This window comes from Homo sapiens, chromosome 6, assembly GCF_000001405.40.
Source record: "Homo sapiens chromosome 6, GRCh38.p14 Primary Assembly".
Classification (NCBI taxonomy): Eukaryota; Metazoa; Chordata; class Mammalia; order Primates; family Hominidae; genus Homo; species Homo sapiens.
This window is the reverse complement of record NC_000006.12, coordinates 152,646,318-152,664,916: the sequence shown is the minus strand read 5'-3', so window position 1 is coordinate 152,664,916 and position 18,599 is coordinate 152,646,318. Positions and strand designations below refer to the sequence as shown.

General features: G+C 39.3%; 1 long non-coding RNA gene across 1 annotated transcript in view; it reads right to left on the bottom strand.

The window, feature by feature from the left end:
• The window catches only part of LOC105378061 (uncharacterized), a 30,866-nt gene extending 23,915 nt beyond the window's left edge, over positions 1-6,951 (bottom strand). Inside the window, exons 1-2 of the long non-coding RNA XR_001744416.2 lie at positions 6,673-6,951; positions 1,805-1,866 (exon numbers count right to left, since the gene is read on the bottom strand). This is a non-coding gene — a long non-coding RNA (uncharacterized LOC105378061). The remainder of the gene's footprint in view (positions 1-1,804; positions 1,867-6,672) is intronic.
• Between the last annotated feature and the right edge of the window lie 11,648 nt (positions 6,952-18,599).

The window sequence follows — 18,599 nt, the reverse complement described above, 5'->3', positions numbered from 1 at the left end:
AGTCTTTAATTCACCTACTGTATCAGTTTGCATCCAGTCAAGAGAGAGGAACCCACAGTTATTTTAACAGAGATAATTTAATATAAAGAATTCTTGTCCGGGCGCAGTGGCTCACACCTGTAATCTCAGCACTTTGGGAGGCAGAGGCGGGTGGATCACGAGATCAGGAGATTGAGACCATCCTGGCTAACACAGTGAAACCCCGTCTCTACTAAAAATACAAAAAATTAGCCGGGCGTGGTGGCGGGTGCCTGTAGTCCCAGCTACTGGGGAGGCTGAGGCAGGAGAATGGCCTCAACCCAGGAGGCGGAGCTGAGCTTGCAGTGAGCCGAGATTGTGCCACTGCACTCCAGCCTGGGTGACAGAGCGAGACTCCGTCTCAAAAAAAAAAAAAAAAAAAAAAGAATTCTTAACTAGGTATTTGTTGTGGTTATTTCTCAGAAACAGGAGGGACCCCCAACCAAAATTCTGTTTAGATGTCAAGACTGATGATGCCTCACACACACCAAGACAGTATAGAAAAGTTTATCATCACATCATGGGATTTTCTAGGAACAGCAGGGCAAACTTACCAGAAAGGTCCAAAAAGTCTTTAGAAAACAGAGAAAGAAGACAAATAGATGTTTTTGTGATATTTAGAGGGTGGGGCGGGGCCAAGGTGAGAATTCTGGTGTGGGCAGAGTTTCTATAGTTTGAACTTCCCTCTAGAACTAAAGGAGGGAACACCCAGGGTTTCTCATCAGCTTGCCCACAGGTGAGCAGAAAGGAAAGAAAGAAAGGTGACAAACATCAAAATATATCGAGTCAGGCCCTTTATTCAGTATTAAAGAACTGAAAGGCCAAAAGGAACACCAACACCAAGGAATCACAGGGAGTGCAACTTCAGGAAGCAGCTACCACTCCTAAAGCTGAGGAAGCAAAGGAAAGAGATTGGAGTTATAAAACTTATAAGTTTCAAAGAACAGCTCCATAGAGCTAAAACTCAAACCCTGAGTAAAGAGCCCTGCTTGGCTGGTGCTGGTACCTCCAAGCTTGGTGGAGGGTCCACATGGGCATAGTACCAAGATCTCTGAAAAAATAAATGGGAATGTGCTAAGTTTCAGCAAGCTTGTATTTCTCAAGTCTGAAGGCAGAATCCAAAGCAATTCTTGGGCTTACTATTTTGAAGAAGAGAAAGTTTCAGTAGCTTCTGCTTGATCCTTCCTACCATAAAGGTCCTTCTTCCATAGGTCAGAGAGCCAAAGTGGGATTCTATAAGTTGCTGCATATGTCTTTTCCAGTTATGCATTCCAGAAATGGAGAACTAACCACAGATGGACTAATGAACGAATGTACTTCAAATTTGGGACAAAACTCCATTCATTATCTGTCCACTATAGACCTCCTGTTGATTGATGAAACAAAACAGCATTTTGAATCCTTCGGCACTTACATCAACTTGGAGCTAGTGTCCAACAGTCCGTATAAAGTCCAAATATATCCTTTTTCCTCTCTACACATGACTCTAGAAAATGTCTTGGAAAGAAGATCTACAGTATAATCTTGTGTTAATTCTCCAGTGTCCTTCCTCGAAAGAATTTCATCTTCCCTTCTTAAGAGGCTGTATGTAAAGTAATTCTTCTATTTGGAATCCAAACTTAGAAATATTTTTCTGTTATTTGGATCAAGAACATTTAAGTAGGCTATCAATCTATTTCAACCCTAGGGATATTGTGATCAAATAAATAGCCCCCAGCAAAGATTCCTTCAGGACAAAATATGCTGATATTTTCAACCTCTTATCCACTAAGGTAAGTGTACTCACCTTGTCTTTGGTGATTAGGAGCTGCCATAACCTCTGCCGCACCATTATGTCACACCGTTATCCTGAGAAAAATCAATGAGCCCACCTCTCACCATCATATCCAGGCATCAAAGGACAGCCAACACAGAGCTTTTCAAGGATGCTGCTACTCACCTCACCAGGTATTTCTCAATGCCTTAGTGATAGGACCTCTTATGTCAGGGGCATTCAGGCATCTCAACCTCATTCAGTGTAAGCCACAAATGAATCTAAATTTTAGTCAACTAACTAAATAAACTATTTAGAGTTTAGAGAAAAGTGGGTTAAAGAGTTAATATTTATATTAACTATTTCAAATAATGTTAAAGAACCTTTTAAAAAACAATAAAACGCCTTCTTCAAAACACCACTAGAAAGTTAACTAGATCAGTATGATCCAGCCTCAAAAATATTTTGAAGATCTCATCTCTCCCCTTTGTTCTTTTAATATGCTGAATTCAAAAAGTAATTACTGCACTTTCCTCCCATATAGTTACCTCATATATAAGCAACAACAAAAATATAGTACTATCAGGGATACAATGCTCCTATGTCACCTAAGAGGCTGCAGATCACAAATCTGAGTACAGAATAGTAGGTTTGAAGTGTAAATAAAGAGCCTTGGCATTCCTTGTAGTTACATTACTTCGACCTCTGCCTCCTTCCTTAATCACCTTTTTCTCTGTGGTTCCATGTTTTCTCCCCTTCTTAGAGGGACACTTGTGGTTGGATTTAGAGCCCACCTCAATAATCCAGGATGCCCTCATTTCAAGATCCTAAACTTAATTACATCTGAATAAAACCTTTTTTTTTCTCTCCCAAATCAGGTTACATTCACAGATTCCAGGTGGACATGTTTTTGTAGTGGATGGAGAAGGGAGGGTCACCATTCAACCCATTACATAGGTGTATTAATCCATTTTCAAAGTGCTGTAAAGATACTCCCTGAGACTGGGTAGTTTATAAAGAAAAGAGGTTTAATTGACTCACTGTTCTTCATATCTGGGGAGGCCTCAGGAAACTTACAATCACGCCAGAATGCGAAGGGGAAGCAAGGCATGTCTTACATGGTGGCAGGAGAGAGAGAGAATGCAGGGGAAACTGACAATTTACAAGAACAGCATGAGAAAATCTTCCCCTATAATCCAATTACCTCTTACTAGGTCACTCCCTTGACACATGGGGATTAAAATTCCACATGAGATTTCAGTCGGGACACATAACCAAACCATATCAATAGGATAGTAGAGTTCTATGTTAGCTAGGGTAAGAAACTCCAGCTATTTTACTAGCTACCTCCAAAGCTCAGCTTATTGATCACTCTAATTGCTGTCCAATGCACATTAGTGGGGAGAGGAAGACTGCTCTATGCAGTCATTCAGGGATGCATGCTCTATCATCACGTTGTCCCACCATCATCTGGAACCTTGTCACCTTCACTCAACTGGCAAAGGGGAAAGAGATCATGGATGGTTGTATAGGAGGTTCTAGGGTCCAGGCCAGGAAGTGGGGTACATCATTTTTTGCCCATATTCCATTGGTCCAAACTCAATCACATAGTCCTTATTTCATTGCAAATGAGGCTTCTTGTTGAGTGCTCAAAAATAAGAGGAAATAGGTTTGAAGGGCAGTTTCTGCCACCAGCCATATGTAAAAAAAAAAAAAAATCAATATTATAAATCTAATTCCTATACACATCAAAAACTAGACCTTAAAAATAGAGAATTACCTTACTTTTTAAACTCCTGTGGAACATTAAAGGCAATTGACCTTACATTAAACCACAATAACAATCTCAGTAAATTAAAATAAGTAAAAGTAGAACTAGCAGCATTCTTACTTTCAAATGTAATTAGACTAGTTTCAGTTCTCTTAAGGGCACGTAAGTCCACTGCAGCGCATCCTTTCTGCTAGTTACAACTAAAAACTCTTGGAAAATCCACTCCCCAAAGCACCAAAGAAAAGCCTACCTGAGGACTATGAAAAATACTGAACTGAGAATTTAAAAACAGAGGGGAACAAGTAGAAAACAAATAACAAAATAGTAGACTTCAGTGAAACTATATAAGTAATTGCATTAAGAGTTAATGTTATAAAATAGTACTGCTAATAGGAATATAGTAAGTCATTTTACCATTTAAAAAATTTTAGCCATATTAAACAAATAAAAAGATGCTGATATATCCAGATATTGTTTAAACATGCAATCAATCTAAAAATTATTAATGAAAAATATTGCATTCTTTCTTTTGGAACATCTTTGAAATCCAGTATGTATTTTTACAAGTGTATAGCAATTTGGACTAAGCACATTTCAAGTAGCTAATAGCTACTGTATTGGACAGTAAAGCTCTAAACCTTCCAGTTAAAAGGTTGACAGTCACAGAGTGGGTGAAAGTAAGACCCTGCTGATTGATTATTGGTTCAGTTTCTCTGGAGAGCGCTGACTGATGCCTTCAGACATTATGCAAGACAATTGATCCAGTTTCAGTAAGAAATCAATGGCAGGAAAAATAAGAGGGAAAAGGACAACTGCTTTATACTAAAGAGATTTAACAACCAAATGCATAATTCAACCATGTTTGATCCCACGTTAAAATCACTGTAAAAAGCATTTTCGAACAATGATGAATATTTAATTATAGATTGAATATTAGATGCATCAAAATGCTATTGCTAATTTTGTTACTGATAATAGTACTGCAGTTATATAAGAAAATGTCATTTTTAGAGATGCATACTGATCTGTGTAAGGGTGAAATAACTTGATGTCTACAATTTGCCTAAAAATGATTTGTCAAATGAAAAAACTTTTAAGTATGGATGAAACAAATATAGCAAAGTCTTGAAGATTGTTAAAATTAGATAATGGGCATATGGGAGTTCTCTCTACTTCTATATTTGTTTAAAAATGTTTTATTATAAAAATGTAGAAAGCCACAAATAGAATCTTGTTAATAAAAAGAAAAAGAAATACCTGCTTCAAGAGAGCATATTCGTGAGCCCCCATCCTTTCTGACATCACAGTGAAATCAAAGAATAGAAACACAAAAAAGGAATAACCACAAAATGAGACATATATTAGGAATTAATACCTTGAGAAGGGGAGAGACTACAACAGATTTCCGGGAGAGTTTAGGAATTGTGTGTGTGTGTGTGTATGTGTGCGTGCGCACGTGTAAGGATGAAACCAGCTAAGAAAGCCACAGTCACGAATACCCAACTTGGTTTCTATAGAGCAAACTAGGAACCCTACCTCAAAGTCAGGAAGATAAGCAGAGTGGGAATGAGAAGTAATGCTGAAAAGAAGTTAATTGAAGACGTGTATACACAACAAATACTCCAGGTGGTACTCCTATACCTTTTCCCCACCTGATTGTGCCAATATAGGTGCCCTAACTAAGACGATTAACTGTCTCAGCTTGCCTAAGATTTAAGGAGGGTGGGATGGGGAGAAGCAAATCCTAGAACTCCTCCTAAATAATTTTAATGAGCTTTCTGGAGGAGACTAAGGCTTCTATTGTCAATGTTGATGCCCAAGAGGAAAGTTCTCTTCAATCTGCTAATCTGCAACTAGATAATCACTCAACAAAAGTGATGCCTATTGAATAACACATAGCCCACCCCTTCCCCACACAGGACTTAATTAGAAATTCTTAATTAGCAAAAAGAGAAAAAGAATAAAGACATTTATGTATCACAGAAAGAAAACCCACACCCTTCTCCTGTCCTCTTTCTTAAGTGTAAACAGATACTCAAGAATTGGCAGCTGTATGAGAATAATTGGCTGTTTAAAGGGGAAAGACAGACATACATTAATAAACAAACAAAATTGTTCTTAGAGGAAACCAATAGAGGAAGCCAGATTAATATTCTAAGAGTGATTTAAGTTATTACATCCATAAATAAAAACATTACATACTCAGATAAAAAATAAATGTTCTGTAAGTTCAGCAGCCTAACTCTCTTGTTACATTGCTAGGGGCCCAGTGATATGAAACATGGTAATATCCCTTCTAGAGTAACAGGATTGTTGCTGTGCCTTGCACAGCTCACTGTGGAACAAGAAGTGTGATATGTGTTGAGCTTCCTGGGATTTTGGAGGTAACAATACCAGCTTTGATCAAGTTGTTCTAGTCCATTTACTGTAATTGATAAAGCTACTAGTTTTGAATAGGGCTCAGAGGAAGAAAAGGCTCTGCAGCAGGTCTGGGCTCTGGCAGCCATCCTGACCCTTGGGCCTTATGATGCAGCAGGTAGCAGAAGTCTCTGGGGCAGACAGATGTATAAAGCCTCTGAATAGTCCCATTAAAAGAATAATAGTGCAGACCCTTGGGATTTGGGGAGCAAGGTCGTCTTGCCCTCTTCTGCAAACCACCATCCTTTTTTTTTTTTTCCATAGAGTCTTGCTCTGTCACCCAGCTGGAGTGCAGTGGTACAATCTCAGCTCACTTCAACCTCCACCTCTTGGGTTAAAGTGATTCTGGTGCCTCAGCCTCCAGAGTAGCTGGGTTTACAGGTAGGTGCCACCACGCCTGGCTAATTTTTTGTATGTTTAGTAGAGAGGGGGTTTCACCATGTTGGCCAGGCTGGTCTTGAACTCCTGGCCTTAAGTGATCCACCTGCCTCAGCCTCCCTGAGGGCTAGGATTTACAGACGTGAGCCACCGCGTTCAGCCAAACCACCATTCTTCATTAGAAAAGAAGGATTTTTGGCTTTGGTGGAGTCTGAACACCCAACCATGGGACCATAGGTATACTGGGTTGAATGGTGTCCCCTTAAAATTCATATCCCTCCTGCAACCTCAGAACAACCTTATTTGAAAGTAGGGTCATTGCAGATGTACTTACTTGAGATGATACTGGAATATGGTGGGCCCTTAACCCACTGTGATGGGTGTCCTTACAAGAAAAGAAGAAGACACAAAGCCAGACACACGAGGAGAATGTAGAATGTCATGTGACAACGGAGGCAGATTGGAGTGATGGGTCCACAAGTCAAGGAACACCAAGGATTGGCAGCGACACTGGAAGCCAAGAGAAAGCCAAGGACCAAATTCACCTCTAGAGCCTTCAGGGAGAGTATGGCCCTGCCAACACCTTGATTTGGAACCTCTAGGTTCCAGATTATGGGAGAAAAAAGTTCTGTCGTTTTAAGCCTCCCAGTTTGTTGTACTTTGTTCTGGCAGCCCTAGGAAACTAATACAATGAGTTACCATGCGACCTGTGTTTCATGTTTTGAACTGACCATGAAACCATAAACTTGAGTATACACAGCAAAATTACATTGTAAAGCGGAAGTGGTATCCATGAGGGCTGGCCCCAGGGTGTCTGGAAGGCAAATGCATTGCATGAAGCGCAGACTCTCAGTTTACTACTTTGCTGCCTCACCCTTGTCCCAAACCGAGGACTTCCTGGGGAATTTCCTATGAAAAGTTACAAGAAAATCTTGGGTCTCATACAAAGATGAATTCCTGCTGTGCCAGCCCAGTTGAAAGTGAGCAGCTGATGTACTAAAGCTCACACAGAGATGCCTCTGGAAAAATAGTAGTGATGGAAAGTCCTCCCGGCTGGCAGGCTTTCAAGTGTTACAGATGATAGTTCACTTTGTGTAGAAGAAGAGAGGACCTGAGCTATTGATCTACCATGACTCTTGGACAAACTAGCAGGTTTGTCACCTGAAGAGGGACTTGAAAAGAAGAAAATTAGAAAATTGATTATAAGAAAATTTGGAGGAGAACTATATAGTGGTTTGGAGGGGAACTATATATGTGTGTATATATATGTATGTGTGTGTGTATATATATAACTAACTATATATATATATATATATTTAGTTAGTTGGAGGCTTTGTAAAAAGAAGAAAGTATGAAATATGAAAGTATTTGTTTTCCACCTAATGCTTACCAAGGGCACACCGAGGTGGAGAAAATTCTCAGTAATAAGGTAGACAAGATTACTTCTCAATGGATGTGAGTCAGTCTTTTTCCCATGCCCTGTGCTGCTGATAGGGCCTATGTGCAAAGTGACCATGTGACATAGATGCAGCCTAGGCATGAACTCAAAAACATGGACTTCCCATCACTAAGGCTGACCTGTCTGCTACAACTGCTAGGTACCCAGTCTGCAAACAGCAACAACTAACTGTGACTCAATACAGCCAGCCACCTACTGGATTCTTCCATCATACAGAGGACAGTGATTTATCTATACATATAGGAATGGAAGCAAAATTTATGTCAAGATTTGCCTCCTCACTCATTAACTTCATTAGTATCTCCTCCATTCATCAATGTTAAGATTGTCTGTACCATCTCCTGTGGTCTGAATGTTCTTGTCCCTTCCAAATTCATATATTGAAACCTAATCACCAATGTGATCATATTAGGAGGTGAGGCCTTTGAGAAGTGATTAAATTATGAGAGCAGTGCTCTAATGGGTGAGATTAGTGACTTATAAAAGGAGCCCCAAGAGCTGCCTTGTCCCTACCATCATGTGAGGACACAGTGAGGAGGTGCCATCTATGAGCCAGAAAAGGGGCCCTCACTAGACACTGAATCTACGGGTGTTTAGATCTCCTCCCCTCCAGAACTATGAGAAATAAGTTTTTGTTGTTTGTAAGACTCCTGGTTTATAATAGTTTGTTATAACAGCCCAAACAGACTAAGACATGATAGTATACCACATATCACCTCTGATCATAGGATACAATTTATAGCAAAGAAAATGTGATAGTCAGTTCATGCACATTCACTCCACTAGCCTTACATGTGCTTCAACCCAAATATACTCTTATTTTTTATATTGACAAATTCTAGTTATATATGTTTATGGGGTAAAAAGTAAGGTTATAATTTTTCATATAATATGAGATGATTAAATCAAGCTAATTAACACATCCGTCTCTGCAAATATTTAACATTTTTGTGATGAGAACGTTTGAAATTTACTCTCTTAGCAATGTCAAAATGTACAATACTCAATTATCAACTATATTCACCATACTGTGGAATGTACTTCCAAAATATCAGACTATCCCTCCTATGTAACTGAAGATTTTTACCCTTTGACTATTATCTCCTAGCCTCTGATAACCACCATTCTACTCTGTACTTCTATGAGTTCAATTGTTTTAGATCTCGCAAATAAGTGAGAACACGCAGTATTTGTCTTTCTGTGTTTGGCTTATTTCAATCAGTGTAATATTCTCTACTTCCATCCATGTTGTCACAAATGACAGGATTTCTTCATTTCTGAAGGATAACTAGTATTCTATTGTGTATATACACCACATTTTGTTTATTGGTTTATCTGTTGATAGATGCTTAGATTGATTCCATAACTTGAACATGGTGAATGGTATTACAATAAACATGGGAGTGCAGACATCTCTTAAACATATAGATTTCAAGTCTTTTGGGTAAATACCCGAAAGTGGGATTATCGAATAATATGGTAATTCTACTTTTAGGTTTTTGAAGAGCCTCCATACTTTTTTCCATAATGGCTGTACTAATTTACATCTCCACCAACAGTGTACATAGGTTCCCTCTTCTCCACATCTTTGGCAACACTTGTTATCTTTTGTCCTTTTGATATAGCTATTCAACAGGTGTGAGATAATATCTCATTGTGGTTGTAATTTGCATCTCTGTAATGATTAGTGGTGTGGAGCATTTTTTCATATATCTGTTGGCTAGATATATTTGTATGTCTTCTTTTGAAAAATGTCTATTCAGGTCCCTTGCCCATTTCTTAATTTTATCTTTTGTTTTCCTTGGATAATTTAGATATAACATTTGGAAAGCAGTGCTAACACATAAGTCAGAAAATGTAGAGGAAAATATCTTCAAATAATACAATTTCCATTATAATCTATTTTCTTTTTTTAATTTTACTTTAAGTTCTGGGATACATGTGCAGAACATGCAGCCTTGTTATAAAGGTATACGTGTGCCATGGTGGTTTGCTGCACCTATCAACCCATCATCTAGGTTTTTCTTTTTTTTTTTTTTGAGATGGAGTCTCGCTCTGTCACCCAAGCTGGAGTGCAGTGGTGCTATCTCCGCTCACTGCAACCTCTGCCTCCCGGGTTCAAGCAATTCTTCTGCCTCAGCCTCCTGAGTAGCTGGGATTACAGGCGTGTGCCACCACGCTGGGTAATTTTTGTATTTTCAGAAGAGACGGTGTTTTGCCATGTTGGTCAGGCTGGTCTCGAACTCCTAACCTCATGATCTGCCTGCCTCAGCCTCCCAAAGTGTTGGGATTACAGGTGTGAGCCACCACGCCCAGCCTATCTAGGTTTTAAGCCCGCATGCATTAGGTATGTGTCCTAATGCTCTCCCTCCCTTTGCCCCAACACCCCCCACAGGGTCCTATGTGTGATGATCCCCTCCCTGTGTCCATGTGTTCTTATTGTTCAACTCCCACTTATGAATGAGAACATGTGGTGTTTGCTTTTCTGTTCCTGTGTTAGTTTGCTGAGAATGATGGTTTCCAGCTTCATCCATGTCCCTGCAATGGACATGAACTCATTCTTTTTCATGGCTGCAAAATATTACATGGTGTATATGTGCTATATTTTCTTTATCCAGTCTATCATTGATGGGCATTTGGGTTGGTTCTAAGTCTTTTCTATTGTAAATAGTGCTGCAATAAACATACGTGTGCATGTGTCTTTATAGTAGAATGATTTATAATCCTTTGGGTATATACCCAGTAATGGGATTGCTGGGTCAAATGGTATTTCTGTTTCTAGATCCTTGAGGAATCTCCACATTGTCTTCCGCAATGTTTGAACTAATTTACACTCCCACCAACAGTGTAAAAGCATTCCTATTTCTCCACAGCCTCACCAGCATCCGTTGTTCCCTGACTTTTTAATGATCGCCATTCTAACTGGTGTGAGATGGTATCTCACTGTGGTTTTGATTTGCATTTCTCTAATGACCAGTGATGATGAGCTTTTTTTCATATGTTTGTTGGCCTCATAAATGTCTTCTTTTGAGAAGTGTCTGTTCATATCCTTTGCCCGCTTTTTGATGGGTTTTTTTTTCCTTGTAAATTTGTTTGAGTTCTTTGTAGATTCTGGATATTAGCCCTTTGTCAGATGGGTAGATTGCAAAAATCTTCTCCCATTCTGTAGGTTGCCTGTTCACTCTGTTGGTAGTTTCTTTTGCTGTGCAGAAGCTCTTTAGTTTGATTAGATCCAATTTGTCAATTTTGGCTTTTGTTGCCATTGCTTTTGGTGTTTTAGTCATGAAGTCTTTGCCCATGCCTATGTCCTGAATGGTATTGCCTAGGTTTTCTTCTAGGGTTTTTATGGTTTTGGGTTTTACATTTAAGTCTTCAATCCACCTTAAGTTAATTTTTGTATAAGGTGTAAGGAAAGGGTCCAGTTTCAATTTGCTGCATATGGCTAGCCAGTTTCCCCAGCACCATTTATTAAATAGGGAATCCTTTCCCAATTGCTTGTTTTTGTCAGGTTTGTCGATGATTAGATGGTTGTAGATATGTGGTGTTATTTCTGAGGCCCCTGTTCTGTTCCATTGGTCTAATTATAACCTGTTTTTTTAACAACTGTCCATAAATTTGTCTAATCCACCTCTTTCATAATCTTCTATGTGGGGTCCCTCATTTCTGAGTTTGTGTAACCTACCATATTTTAGTCAGTACTATTTTGGGAGACTGAGTTCCAAAAGTACAACAGATCATTTATAAAGTGGTTCTTTTTATTTGTACTGCGTTTCCCTCCTTGATAATAAACTACCTTTAAAATGGTTTCTTTATATGTAAATCATCAAGTAATAACTTGGACATGATGGTTTTGGCAATAGCTGAGACTGAATAAAAAATGACAACAGAAATAGGAGGGAGGAATATTAACCAAGAGCAGCAGAGGAACTAGTAAACAGATAAAGCAATCAAAAAGAAATAACTGCACTGCCTGAGAACGTAGGAAGAGGGACAGAACAGGGCACAGTAGAAGTGATATGTTGGATTTATTTATATGGAGATTTGTTTCCTGGAATTGTCTTAAGGAAGATTAACCAAGTGGAGAATGTCAGAATTTCTGCTGCAGTAGCAATTTGGAGGAGATAGAAATAGAGAAATAAATTAGGGTGGAAGTGTGGTATCTAGAGAAAATAAATGAAGGACAAAGTGAAAGACGCAAATACACATAGAAAAAGAACCCATGTTTGTTTAAGGTCAATATCTTTCTCCTTGCTACCCAGGTTGAATACTTACGATTTATGGTTGATTTCTCTTTCTTGGCTTCTACATTCAATCAGCTGCTCAGTCATTATAGCTTTTACCTATGAAATGTCTTTCAGAGCCACCTTCTTTTCCTTTCCACTATGATCAGCTTAGTTCAGATCCCAATTTCCTCCCCGCAGTAAACTGATAACAATATTCTTGGCTTTGCTTTCATGGCCTTCTGTTTTGGATTGATTGTGTGCCCCCTAAATTCATATGTTGAAGTCCTAACCTTCAATGTGACTATATTTGGAGATAGGGTCTTCACAAAGGTAATGAAGGTTAAGTGAAGTTATAAGGATGGGGACATTAATCCAAAATGACTGGTGTCCTTATGAGGAGACATAGAGACACCGGGGATGCTCAGGCACAGAGAAAAGGCCATGTGAAGACACAGTGAGAAGGCTACCACCCACCTGCAAGCCAAGGAGAGAGGCCTTCGTAGAAACCAATGCTGGTAGTTCCTCGGTTTCAGGCTTCCAGCCTCCAGAACTGTGAGACAATAAATTTCTGTAGTTTCAGCCACTCAGTGTCAGGTATTTTGCTCTGGCAGCCGTAGCAGACAAATCCATCCTTTCCCTGAGGTTGCATAAAGCTTTTTCAAATGCAGCACCCATGCTGTTACTTCTTTCCTCACGAATCATTAATGACTCCACATAGAGATGAATCACCCTGGTCTTAAAAGCCATTCTTCCTGGATTCACCTTTTGCCAGTCCCCTATTTCAACAAAATATGACTCCTCATCATTTCTACACATGCCAAATAATTTCTTACTTCCATGCTTTTTGCAATTTACATATCTCTATCTGGAAAGTTACTTCTTTTCTTTAACCCAATAACAGCCAGGAGTAGCAGGAACCCAGTCTAAAGAAGTCCCGGGAGCCACCTCTAGTATACGCAGACTGATGCACCATCAGAAAGTCCTTGGGGCAGCAGCCGAAGCAGTAGAGGCTGTAGGAGCCCCAGAAGGATAAAAATGCCTCTGTCATTATTACTGACCTTCCTGTTCTGTTAGTATTTGAAGTCTTCAAGAGAATAAGACTTCCAGGTGCATTGCTTCTGGCTCTTAGCTTGCCTGGCTTCCTGTCATTTAACCCGCTATACTTCCCATTAGGTTTCAGCCCAGCCCCGGCCTCTAATATCAGACCTTGATTAGCTAAAGCAATATAAAGAGGACCGTAGGGCTGTAGCTCAGTAGCTAAGCAGCATATTGGTTATGCTGCCAGCCCAGATCTAGCCTTAATTCTCTGTAACTAGACCCTTCTCTGAACCAATGAGTGGCTGTCTTTTTCCACAATGACCAAACTACTGCCTAATACTCCACATTTGCCACAGTCAAAATTACCATGATGCATGTTCTTAGATATGCCTAATGCCTTCTTGCCTGGAGATGTGCCGATCATCTGATATAGAATTGCCAATCACTTTCTCAGCCATTCTTACATCACCTTGATTCACTCTGGATCTTATCCTGGGCTTAGAATCTTTGTTATTCTGCACATTTTGATTGGCCCAGAATTTCACTTGGAACTTACCCTATGAGAATGATGCCCTTTTAATTTCAGACCTGTTAGAACTCCAATTTTTTCGTGAGAAATCTTCGGAAACATTCCACTGATCTTAACATCCTGATGATTTTTCTATCTTTATTCACATCCAGACTGTGAATAAATCTTACAAGTTCCCAAACATATTAGAATTTGATCACTTCTCACCACCTTCATCACCACCACCCTCTTCCAAGCCACCATCCTCTCTCACTGTGTTGCAGCAATGGACTCTTAATTGGTCTCTCTCCTTCTGACTTGAATCTGTCCATCTATTCTCAACACAGTAGTCAGTTATCTCCTGCAAACACAAGTCACTTCATGTCATTCTTGGGTTCAGGGCTATCCAGGGGATTCCCACCTCTCTTGGAATAATGGCAAATTCCCTATAATGACCTACCAGGCTTATACAGTTTATGCTTCACCACCACCATCATTTCTATGACTTCATCTCCCCCTCACCCACTCCATTCTGGCTACTCTAGCTTCCTTCCCATTCCTTAAATAGAGCAAGGAATTTTCAACCTCAGGGCCTTCACCCTTGCTCTTTGCTCTCCCCAGAATGTTTTCCCCAGCTATCCTCCTTACGACATCCTCATTTACTTTTTTCAGGACTATTTTCAGAAATTACACTAAAATTTCAGCCATTGACTTGACACATCTTTTGTCTCTTCTCTGCTATATTTTTTCTCCCTAGCAGCCATTATTATCCAATATGGTATATATTTGTATAGACATTGTTTGCTGTCTACATTTTCCACTAGAAGATAAACTTTATGAATGCAAAGTTTTCTTTCTTTCTTTCTTTCTTTTTTCTCCCGTGCACTGCTCTAGAAAGCACCAAAAAACATTGCCTGGCCCATATGTAGTAGGTACTCAATAAATATTGAGTGACTGAACGAATGTTGTATACCCTAACTCGGCATATCTGCCTGGATTTTGAGACCTGCATTTGCTGGTCTAGCCTATCATTTTATGCTTTTGTCCCTATCATGACACATGAAGTGAATGAAGGAGGCAGCTGAGGACCCTGCTCTGCAGTGTAATGGCTTGGCCATCTGAATTGCCCAAGGCTAGCTCTGGATGGAGATGGAATGAAGTCCACTGCCCCTACAACCACAGCAGTTGTCACAGTGGGAGCCCCCCGGGACACATAGCAATTCTGTGCTTGGGGAGCCGAAATTAATTATATCCATTTTAGGCCCCGTTGGTTGCCAGATGGATTTTAGAACATAGGCAGAGAAATTGCAAAATGGTGCTCAAAGATAATCAGGAGAAAAAAAAAACCTTTTAGGGTTTAATGTATCCTATTATCAAGAATGTCTACCTCTATTTTATCAAAATATTTCCTGCTTAGTAAACTCATTTTTCTCTTATTTGATCTTCAAGAAAGAGAGAATATAAATTCTCTATCATCCACATGATCATCTTTCACATACAGAACATTTTCAGCCATGAAGCTGTCCTAGAAGTTAAGCAATATGACCCATCATTAGTTAATATCCTTTCTGTAACTGCTGATATAGCTGATGACAATCAATATGGTTAATTAAGATAAATAGTTTGTCTATGCTTCTCACCACTGAGGTAGGAGAATATTTAGATAGATAGATAGATAGATAGATAGATAGATAGATAGATAGATAGACATTATACTTAAAAGGCTTTTTGTTTTGTATTATTTTTTGGAATACTAAGTGGTGTCATAATTATCTGAAGGCCTCTAGGTAAGATTAGTGAGTCAAACACTTCTGGTCTGTAGGCAGCATTGATTGGCTGTCTCTCCAGCATTTATTGTCCTCTCCTATCTTCTTTGCAGTACCCACATTTTAATTCAGATACTGCACAGAATACTTCCCATTTGTTCCTGTCCTTTTCCATTCTGCTCTGTCCTGAAAGAATGACCAGCGTGGGCAGCATCACACTGCTCCTGCATCCTCAGGCTTCTGGTTTGTTTTAAACAATGGGGAATCCCAGTAGAAACAGGAGAAAACAAGAATATCAGAGTGCTAATTTCCCTAGTTCCCTCCCTAAGCTCCTCTGAGGTTACCTGTGTTCTCCCAGGGTCATTGCTCCTATCAATATATTATTCTCTACAGGACTCTTCCTTTGCATTCCAGTAAGCTCTCCCTCCCTGATTTCCTCTGGGCCTGGGATCAATAGCAGCTCTGCTCTTGCTCACTCCAAGTTCCCTGGCTATGTCTTATGGTTCCACTATTCCCCCTTCACACTTTGTAATTTGGCCCTTTGAATAAAACAAACCAAAATAAAATGGACTTCACCTCAAATTACCCTCATCTAGTGTTTGTGACTTCTGACTTCCCTTTCCTTTTGGGGCCAAATACAGGTATCTACACTTTGCTATGTAGGCCATTTGCTTCAGGAAGATGTTATGCCAATGATGGGTCTGACTGGGTGAAAGGCAATCAGAACATTTTATTTTTCTTCACCAAAGTGGTTGGGAGGAGGCCACTAGGCACACAACCTAAGCTAGCCTAATTAGAGCAATATTCAAGACATTCGCATGGAATTTTAGACACAAATACTTTCTCTCTCAGTGGGTGAAACAAAAGTATGTACCAGTCTAATTATTGCCGGTACACATCCAACAAACATAAGGATCAGCCTTAGAATGAACTCAACATGTGGACAGCAGAAAAGAAGAATAGAAAGAAACCAGATCGTTGATGTAAACTGGAATGAATCCTGAAACTTGTCCTTTTGGATTTTTGCAAGCTAATAAATCTCCTTTATTTTTATTTTTGCCTGTGTCCACTGGCTTTTCTTTTCCTGGCATCACAATGCATCTGAACTGATACATGTTCATCTGGTGATTTCTCACAAATTTTCCAGCTGGAAATAGATATGGGTAATGAAATAAACCAGGAAGGAGAAACTCACAAGTAAAGATCGTCTTTCCTTTTCGGAGGCTCCTTGAAGTATTTCCAAGTGGTGGATAAAACTGTGTGTGCTAGTGAGTTCATTCAGTCACTCTGGAACACTCTTGGTAGGAATCCAGTTAAGAAATTATGTAATCCACATGATCCTCTCCCACTGCAAACTCAGCTACAACCTAATGTCATTACTGGCACAGTTATCTTGTAAACAAAAGCTCAGTTCTAAATAGTATTTAGCAAAGCCATTATGCACAAGTCAGATAGACTGATAGTGGCCTATAAAAAAGCTTTTTAAATGATCCAGAAAATGTTAAGAACCTTTGAGAAAAAAAATAAAAATAAGGGCAGACAAAAGGTAGATGATATTAATTAATATATGATAAAGGCAAAGAAAAGTTGCCAATATTCCTAAATAATTACACAAACTCAAGGGGAATATGAAAAGCTCTACAACATCTCAGAAGTGGATGTATCAGGGGATTTCAGAGCTGTCTACTTATCAGAAACCATTTCAGACATAGAACTGTATATCCAAACAGAGCCAAAAGTACAATGACAGAAGTGCTTTAGAGTAGTTAAAAAATTATGAACCAAGAAGAAAGGATAATATTAAGAGCTGAAGGGAAAAAAATATATTTTTCTATTACTTTATACCATGAAACATGGGAATATCCTAATTGATGACCCATTGAAGATCAGGATGTCCCAGAGATTTGAGCAATCAGTTTCTAATGGGTTTGACAATAACGTAACTTTATAATTGATGGTATGTAGAATTCCATAAGGCATAGTGAGATTGGTATGTTCATTCATTTATTTATTCAACAAACATAAATTGAGTATCTTTTATGTGCTTGTTTTAAATGCTAAGAACATAAGAGTTAACAAATATACTGAAATAGCTGCCCTCATGGAGCTTACATTTTAGGGACAGACACAAAATAAATTAGATAAGTAAGAAAATATATATACAATGTTAGTGCTAAGTGCTGCAGAAAAAAATAAAGTATGGCATAAAGGTAGAATGTTCAAAGAAGAGTGGAGGGTGTTTAAAAATTTTATACAGGACATTCAGGAAAGAGTTCACTGAGAGGGTAATGCTTTGATGAAAGACCTGAAAAAAGTTAGAAGGCCAGACATGTGAATATGAGCAACTTTCAGAATTGAATTTGCCCGCAGAGAGAATATCATGGAAAAAGGTCCTGCAGTGGGAGCTTGCCTAGTAACCTTCAGGAACATCAAGGAATGCATGCAAGCTGCGGGTCAGTAAGTGAAGGGGAGGGTTGCAGATGGGGCTAGGTAGTTAATGAGGAGATGGGGCAAATCATATAGGGCTTTATAGATCATAAGAGGACTTCACTGTAAGTAATATGGAATGCTATTAGAGGGCTTTGAGCAAAGGAGTGACATCATCTGGTTTATGATATAATAAGATTTATGTGACTGTTACGTTAAGAGTAGCCTGAAGGCAGCCAGGCACGGAAGCTCACGCCTGTAATCCTAGCAGTTTGGGAGGCCGAGGAGGGTGGATCACAAGGTCAGGAGTTCAAGACCAACCTGGCAAAGATGGTGAAACCCTGTCTCTACTAAAAATACAAAAAATTAGCCAGGCATGGTGGCAGGTGCCTGTAATCCCAGCTACTTGGGAGGCTGAGGTAGAGAATGGCTTGAACCCAGGAAGTGGAGGTTGCAGTGAGCTGAAATCGCACCACTGCACTCCAACCTGGGCGACAGAGCGAGACTCTGTCTAAAAGGAAAAAAAAAAGAAAAAAAAGAAAAAAAGGGTAGCTTGAAGGCTAGAGATGATGTCTAGGGTAGTAATGGTGGAGTTGATAAGTAATAGATTTTTAGATTCATTAGACTTTTTGTAACCTACAGAAAAGTTTCAAGAGTATTACACAAAACTCCCTGTATGCCTTCCAACCAGATTCATCAGTTTGCTGACATTTTGCTCCATTTACTTTCTTTAACCATCCTTCTCTATGTTTCATTATATTATGTTTTCTGAACTACTTGAAAGGATGTTAGAGACATCATGCCCTACAATTGCTAAATATTTTAGAGTCTATTTTCTAA